This window comes from Homo sapiens, chromosome 16 (assembly GCF_000001405.40).
Source record: "Homo sapiens chromosome 16, GRCh38.p14 Primary Assembly".
NCBI lineage: Eukaryota > Metazoa > Chordata > Mammalia > Primates > Hominidae > Homo > Homo sapiens.
Genome location: NC_000016.10, coordinates 52,853,208 through 52,862,136, shown reverse-complemented (window position 1 = coordinate 52,862,136; position 8,929 = coordinate 52,853,208). Strand labels below are relative to the sequence as shown.

At 38.7% G+C, this 8,929-nt stretch overlaps 1 annotated feature.

The window, feature by feature from the left end:
• Window positions 206–500: a silencer, noted in NCBI's record as "tiled region #3100; HepG2 Repressive DNase matched - State 8:EnhW". NCBI's record gives its function as "represses a minimal TATA promoter and a strong SV40 promoter by Sharpr-MPRA in HepG2 cells {active_cell/tissue: HepG2}" and the evidence as "EXISTENCE:reporter gene assay evidence [ECO:0000049][PMID:27701403]".

Genomic DNA, 8,929 nt, shown 5'->3' with positions numbered 1-8,929 from the left:
TATATCTGTAAAGGTCAGCCTCCCTGGACACAGATTAGAGTGAAGATACGTGGAGAGTGAGTTTGGAGAGGGCAGACCACCCAACACAGGTATAAAAAATACAACAATAAAACGGAAGTCACCCATGATCCCAGCTTGTGTGACTGACTCCAGTGCCCACCCTCCTGACTGTCTTGGTGATGGCTTGGCTTTCTTCCTCCCTTTGTGCTTCTTTGCCACTCTGTGGATCCAGTGCCCCAAATCTTGCCAACTCTTCTCAAGGAGGCGCGCTCTCATAGCGAGTATATTTTTATTGTGAAGACATCTGCACCTTCTTGCCAGCCAAAAATAACATATGGAAACGTTTCCCACATTTTCACCAGGGGGCACTCACTCCTTTTTCATGGATGGCTAAAAATGCTTTTTTCGAAGTGTTTGCTTGCCAAAATAGAATCCTTTTTGTAGCCGCTGTGAACGTTGGAATCAGCTCTGCCCTGAAGTGATTTCTGGCCAAACAATGTTTCTGTTTGAAATAAGATGACTGGACTCCACGTCTGCCTTCTTGGTAAATGTTTAGCACCCAACTTGCATGTTCCATTTGGAAAATACTTTGGGTCTAAATGCTACTTTACTATTCTCCCATTGAAATGAACAGAACCAAGAAGAGTTTGAGAAAATAATCTGTGCGCTTAATTTGTAGGTGCCCTTTTAAGAGCTGAAAACCTGACAAATCAAAGAAAGTGAACAAATCCTCCCTTTGGAGGCTGCCTTGTACCCATCCCCAAGATTCATCTTGATGATAAATGGAGGCTTCCTGGGGGAAATATGTTTTTTCAAGCATAAATTCTCCCAAATGGAAAGGCATTTGTTTGGTATCATATCAATCCTATTTAGCTATTAGGTATGAAAGTGACATACTCTTTGTCAAAGGAACCATGCAGACAAGAGAGCTGAGTAATCAAGCAATGTACAGGGAGTAAGTGGGAGGCCTCAGGCATGTATTTATAAGAATTTCTCTTAACAGTGTGGATTGTGTTTGCAACTTGATAAAAATAATTATAGATCTCTGATGTCTTTTTAATGAACGCGATGTTACAACTATAGGGAAATATAAAGATATATTTAGTCTATCATCTAATCAGTCAATCAAAGGGGTAGCTTAAAATTGTGGGTTTTTTTTTTCATACAAAAGCTTATTCTTAGGTCTGGACACTGTATGGTATAATGATTAAGAGCAAAATTTTGGCACAAAATCAACCTGGATTTGAATCTTGGTACCATTTCTTACCTCTGTAACCTTGGGAAAGTTATTTAACCCCTTGAACTTTCGTTTTCTGATGTATACAATGGGAGAAATTATGGTACCCACTTAATAGTGTTGATGTCAAGATTAAGAGGATAACACAAGTCAAGTGTCTGGTACATAAAAATACTCAATACCTAATGAATATTGTCATTACCTTATAATAAGATAATCCCATCAAAAAATTTAGAGATAATGCATAATGAAGAAATCATTACATGGGTTCAGACAACTTATTACTGGGCTCTTTTTTTTCTCCAATCAACTTTAGCTATGGCAGTGCTAATTAATTATTTAAAAAACAATAGCTGTTTGAGTGAATTTTTTGTCACAAAACATAGGATCTTGGAGCTGGGAGGACTAACAGATTAATCGCATCCAAACTTATTTTAAGAAGAAGGGAATTCTTTAAAAAATCTTTAAAGTAAAGCTGGTTTGTCTGCATAGCCACAAATCGAAGGTATGAGTAAATAACTGCAGTTCTCACCAATTCAGAAATGGTAATTTATACATTACCCTTCTCCTTACAAATCAGTGCTTCAATGTGAGTTACAAAAAGAATTATTCCCTTTTATTTTTATGCATTCTGACTGATTATTAAAGTTTACTTTCGCTGCTTTCTGTAGATTTTGGATATATTCTAGAAAATCTCTTATTTCAGCTTTTAATGAAAAATTAAAAATAAAATCTGATTAAATAATTTTTCGTGATGTATATGGGACAAAGCTACTCTGTAGAGAGTAAATTAAGAAAAATAAAAGTTAACAGGTCCACAAATTGGGTCAAGATGATTTGCTTAAGTAGTGGTTATTCATTTGCACACATTCTTGTCCTGCAGCATATAAAGAGAATGAAACTTTTCTGGGATTTGCCCAATTGGTGGTCATGCTTATGCATGCTTCTGCATGGGGTGGGCAAGAACACAACTAGCTCAGATGGTTCCATCTTAAGGAGATATGAAATCTGGTCAAGCTTATTTTTTGTATTAGTAAAGGCAAAAAATATATCATAGATTGGTCTAAGGCTGATTTTTTTTTTCTTTCAATATGACCTACTATGTCCAAGGTTTCATATAAACTAGCTCTGTTTGACTTTCCAATTTGGCTATTTTGCCATTGTATGTATCTAGAGAATCCACTCACAGAAAATATGTTGACTATTACCATGTAACATCTGTTATGCTAAATGCCGAGTAATGTACATAGCTGAGACTCTGGTATCATCGCATGGCTCTGTCCAGTGAAGATTATCTCTCTTCTGAGGAGCCACAGTACTCCATTTATTCTGCTTTTATAGTATTTTTAGAGAATTTTAGTTATATACATACATGATCATAATATATTAATATACTTTTTTGAAAAATTATGATAATAAGGCATGAATATATTCTTGTTCTAAAACCTTCATAAATATGGTTACAAAGGGAAAAATAGAGACTGTCTCTCAGTCCCATGACTCTTATAACGTAACCGTTCTTAAGGCATGAGGCATATCCTCTACTCCTTTTGCTCTGTGCATTTACACTAAAGGTTGCTAACCAGCTGTTTACAGGGGCCTGGCAGACAACATAAACAAGCAAGGAAGACTGGATATAAAATAGTGGTTCATAGGGGACACTGGACACCCAGAGCTGCATGAGTGGCAGCCACTAGGCTACTTTAGCCAGTTATTGCCATGTAGGAAGACAGGTCCAACATGGCAAAAACTTCCTGTTTTTCAAGAGAAGACTGACATGTAGATTCTCAAACAAAAGTTCCTAATTTTTAAGTTCCAGCAACTAATTCAAATATTTTCTTTGCTTTTGAGACATGTTCTGGCTGTATTGCCTAGGCTAGAGTGCAGTGGTGCAATCTTGGCTCACTGCAACCTCAGCCTTCCGTGCTCAAGCCATCCTCCCCATGACAGTCTCCTGAGTAGCTGGGACTACAGGCACATGCCACCACACCCAGCTAATTTTTGTGTTCTTTGTAGAGATGGGGTTTCGCCATGTTGTCCAGGCTGGTCCTCAAACTCATGAGCTCAAGTGATCTGCCTGCCTCAGCCTCCCAAAGTGCTGGGATTACAGGCGTGAGCTACCACACCCAGCCTAATTGGAATATTTTATAGTCAATGTTTAAATTAAGCCAAATATATCTACAGGCTTAGTGTGGCTAGGCAACAGCTGATTTGCGCCCTTCAATTTATTGTACTCCACTATTTTCATATACAATTGCATTGTCTATACTATTGCATATACTATTTGCATTATCTTTCTAGGCTAAACATTTTCTTAAGGCAAGATCATTTCCTTATTCATTTTTGCATTCATTCCAAAGCACTCCAGTACACAAATGATACACCTAACTTCAAATCTCAGTTTTCATCTACACAATGTCTCTAAGGTGATGCAAAAACAGAACTAATGAAAAAAGCAAGAACAAAACTTAAACCCAAACAACAGAAATAAGAAACAAAACAATAAGAATAATAACAATAGCAACAAAGTCAACCTAGAAAAAAGTATAATTGAGGAGTTGGTGGTTAAAATCACCTCCAAAAGAGGCCACTAGCAATGGTCAATGTAGGCACATTGATAGAACCATATTGCCCTGATTCTGTTCCCATCTCCATTCCCCAATCCAATCCATGTGATTGGCTGGTAGCAGGAGCCTTGCTGGTCACTCAAGTGGGCAATGTCTGGAACTGATGAACAGGGCTCGGCAGGCACACTCAGCGCTTATCGTCCAATCTCTAAGTCCCCTAATTAGAGAATTGAGATGCCCATGGAACATTGAAAAGATGGAATGCAACAGAAGATGACTTAATGGTTGTTTTGAGATCATTTTGTGTTGATGTACATAAGGTAAAAGAAAACAGAGAGTGGAAAGGCATCGACTCTGTAATTAGCTTTGAATTTTACCAGGACATGTGCTTCCAGAAGTGGTCTTATTTGTAATTACTTAAGCTTGGAAACTGAGCTACAGAGAAGAGGCTTTCTTGTAAAGAAACTGTAAGGTTTCAATTATGCCCTGACCTCACTTTGATGCACTTTTTAGGACACATGCTTGGACAGGATTTGCTTTAGGGTGGACATGGGGAATCAAGGGACAGGGCAGGAAGAAAGATATTTAACCCTGGAATCCTTCAACACCTGTGTTGCTCCCCCTACTTACTCTTACTCCATCCCACTGGTTGGAGTGATCCTCTTAACCTAAAAACTATCATGTCACTCCTCTGTGTAAAATTCTGCAATGGTTCTGTTGCCTTCTGATTAAAGTTTACACTCTCAACTTAACCTAGAGGATGCTTCGTTTTCAGGCTCTGGTTTGCCTGTCTCCACTCTGGGCCTTCCCATATGTTCTTCCTTTCCCTTGTTTGCTGGCTAACTTATCCTCACTGCAGATCTCAGTTTAATAACATTTTTCCTGGGAAACCATCGCTGGCCCTCTAGAACAGCACTGTCCACTAGAAATATAACATAAGTCACATATGTAATTTTAGCCACATTAAAAATGTGAAAAGAAATAGAAGCAGCTGATTTTTAATAATATATTTTATTTAACTCAAAATATTTTCATTTCAATATGAAATTGATATACAAATTACTGGCCGGGCACTGCGGCTTATGCCTGTAATCCTAGCACTTTCGGAGGCTGAGATGAGAGAATTTCTTGAGGCCAGGAATTCAAGACTTGCCCTGGCAACAAAGTGAGGCCCCGTTTCTATAGAAAAATAAAAAATTAAATTAACCAGGCATGGTGGTGCACACCTGTAGTCCCAGCAACTTGGGATGCTGAGGTGGGAGGATCATTGAGCCCAGGAGAGTTTGAGGTTACAGTGAGCTGTGATCACACCACTGCATTCCAGCTTGGGTGACAGAGCAAGACCCTATCTCGAAAAAAAAAAATTTACTGAGATACATTAGTACTCTTACTTGATAGCAAGTCTTTAAAACCTGGTGCATATTTTGCCCTTACAACACATCTTAATGAAACCTTGCCTTATTTTGAGTCTCAATAGCCCCTTGTGGCCAGGGGCTCCTGTATAACAGTGCAGCTGTAGGTGAGGTTGGTTGCCTGCCCTCCTGTGAAACGTGTCCCTCCTTTCCCTTGTTGTGTTCCAGCCACAGAACTTCTCTCTGTCCTTTAGGTGGGTCATGCTCTTTCTCACCTCATGTCTTAGCATAGGTTTTTCCTCTGCCTGGAACACTCTTCTCCACTCCTCTTGTATCCGGCTATCTCCTATGTGATTTTTTAGATCTCAGCTTCCCCTAGAAAACCTTCCGTGACTTCCCAAATCCTGATTGTATCTTTCCCATGATCTCCCCACGTGTTTCTTAAGAAATGTCACAACTTGTTTCCCACTGAATTACCAATGCCTGTTTGTAGTTCCCTCTGGACTGTGAGCTGTATGAAGGTACTGTTTCTATTCCTGACTTACTAGTGCAACACCTAGCACATGCTCGACCCTCAATAGTGCATTATTTTCTGATTTTCAAATACCCAAAACAAACTTTTCTATTCATTTTTTTCCAACTGAGTTAGCATATGGAGGCAAATGTTTCAAAGTTAAAAACTTAAAATCTAGTTAATTTATTTTATATAACCTGTTGACTCATATTCCATAGACTGCCTGTAAACTTGGAGAATACTATTTAAAAATAAATACACCGGAGTCAGTATTATACCAACAACAATTTTCTGGTTTTCACAGCATACTATGATTATATAAAATACTATCACTGGGGGAAGTTGGGAGAAGGGTACATGGGAACACTGTATTATTTTTGTGACTTTTTGTGAACTTTAGATTATTTCAGAATAATAAATTATTTTTAAAAGAATCTGCTCAACTTAAGCAATTCAAGGTAATTGCTAAATTCCATAGCCCATAAATGCTTTTGCTTGGTATTATTAAAATGCTATTTCCTAAGGACAAACTGTAATATGAAACAAAATGTGGCATGGGAGAGAACAAATCAGTGGCTCCCAAACTTTGTGGATTCATGGCACATTTTGGAATATTAGAATTTTGGCAGCCCTCTTGGAATGATTAGGAGACTAAAAACAACATTTAAATAAATTAGGAACAATTACAATGCAGTAATTGCCACAGTCTAACAATGTCTCCCAGTGTTTTGAAAGAAGTTAGTGGTCACCCTTTCACACTGTCCTGCTATTTGATTAGAATTATTTATTGCCATGATGACAATCTGCTACAAACCCACAAGCCAAAGCTCACACTTTACTCTGGTTCAAAGAAGGTTGGATCATCCTTTATATTTTTCTGCCTGCTCAATTAAAGGATCCATCAGACAGATGATGTTGCAACTCTGTGTGTTTTCATTTAAAAAAAAAGGTCACATTGGGCAAAATTTCACTGTAACACTGTTCAGGTTTCATTGTTCATTAGTAGCCACTGATTGAGAACCACTGATCTAGATAGTAAAGATGGAAAATCTAGTTTTGTTCTCAGCCAATGCAAATTATTTTTATAGAGCCCAATTAAAAGCCCTATGTGTTTTTTGAACATTTCAGATTCTGTGACCTTCTTCCTTTCTTCTAACTCAGCCTACATCACGTAGTCTAACATGTACTTTGTAAATTCTTGTTACATTTTGTGATTGTCCTTTGAATGTAAGCTTCTCATTCTAATAACTTATAAATTCCACGAAGATAGATCTTTGGCTTCTTTTGTGTCACCCTTCCATTGGCTTCTGAGTCAATTAAATTCAATTCTACCCATAGATGCTGAAAATAACCATTAAGTTGATTTATCTAGATTAGATGATTTAAGCAAAGGCAAGAAGATGGTTTAATTAACCCTATGTTGAACTCATCATGGAAAATTCTTGAAACTTGCCTGCATGGAGCTCACACAGGATCCCCTTCCTCAATGGTGCCCTAACACCTGACACGTATAAGTCTTGAAAATGTGGGCTGGCACTGTGGAAAGCAGTTTGGAGATTTCTCAAAGAATATAGAACTACAATTTGATCTGATAATCCCATTACTGGGTATATACACAGGAGAAAAAAATCTCTCTACCAAAAAGACACATGCACTGGTATGTTCACTGCAGCACTATTCACAATAGCAAAGACATGGAATCAACCTAGGTGTTCATAATGTCCATCAGTGGATTAGATAAAGGAGATGTGGTACATATACACCATGGAATGCTACACAGCCACAAAAATGATGAAATCATGTTCTTTGCGGCAACATGGATACAGCTGGAGGCCATTATCCTAAGAGAAGTAATGCAGGAACAGAAAGACTCCATGTTCTCACTTATGTAAGTGGGAGCTAAACAAGGTACTCGTGGACAGACAGATGGCAACAATAGACACTGGGTACTACTACGAGGAGTGAGTGGGACTGGGTTGAAAAACTAACTGTTGGGTACTATGCTCACTATCGGGGTAATGGGATCAATTGTACACCAAACCTCAGCATCATGCGATATACCCAGGTAACAAAACTACACATGTACCCCCTGAATCTAAAATAAAAGTTGAAATTACAAAAAATAAAAAATAAAAAAAAACCAAAAAGCAAAAACAAACAAAAAAGAAAATGTGGCTGGTCACACACAAACGGCTCCAGTACATACAGGCTCCCAAAGTGTAGTCAACCCTTGAAGAAAGGGCATGATTGTGTTTGGGAGAAGTGCACATACCAAATTCAGAATCTTTAGAACACATTCTCTAGCTGGTTTACCCATGTTTCTCTCCTCCTTCATTTTGGAGATAGCTTTTTTTTTTTTTTTTCCCTGTTCATGGGAGTAACCTAACCATCCCTTTCCATGAACATATAATAAAATGATATCCAATTGCACATGCTACTTATTAATCTGCTCAAAAAACTGATATATTGTGAACCTCTTCCCAAGTTAATAAATATATGACTTTAGTACACATTGGATTCAGAAAGCAGAGTGCTAAGGCTCTAAAATCACACTGCCCAGGTTCACAGCCCAGATCTAGGACTACTATCCATGTTGATCTTCTGGAATTTACTTACCCTCTTTGTACCTCAATTTATTAAACTGCCAAATGATGAATAATATGGCCTACTTCATTGTGTTTCCACAAGGATTAAATGAGAATGACTGTAAGGCACAGTATAAGAGCTCAATAAGTTTAGCTATCTGTCTACATCAATGGCTTTCGAACTAGTTTAAAGCAGTAAAAACTATTTTGCAGAGAGGATGGCTGACTAGAGGCATCTCATACTCAACTTCTCCACAAAGAAGGACCAAAATAGTGAGTAGATGACCGCACTTCAAACAGATCACCTAAGAGAGAACACTGGATCAAAAGAGAGGTGACAGGAACCACCTAAAGCAGGGAAAGAGAGGGAAACAAGGGAGCCTGCTTGGCTAGGAATGGCTGTGAGACTGGAGAGACTGCCCAGTAAGGGCAACAGGTAAGTGAGAGACCCTCAGTGGTCCACATTTCCAACATGGAATCCTTCTGCAATCCTGGTCACAAGAGAGCCCCTTGACCATCACGGGCCCTGAAACTGACTTAAGGAGCTGCCTGGAGATTGTGCAATGGCATTGCTCCAGAGAGGACGCTCATGCTGGATCCTCCCCACCCCCGCCAGGTCCTAAGCTGCTACACAGCAAGGCACAGTTTTGAAAGCCCAGCCCCAAACAGACTGC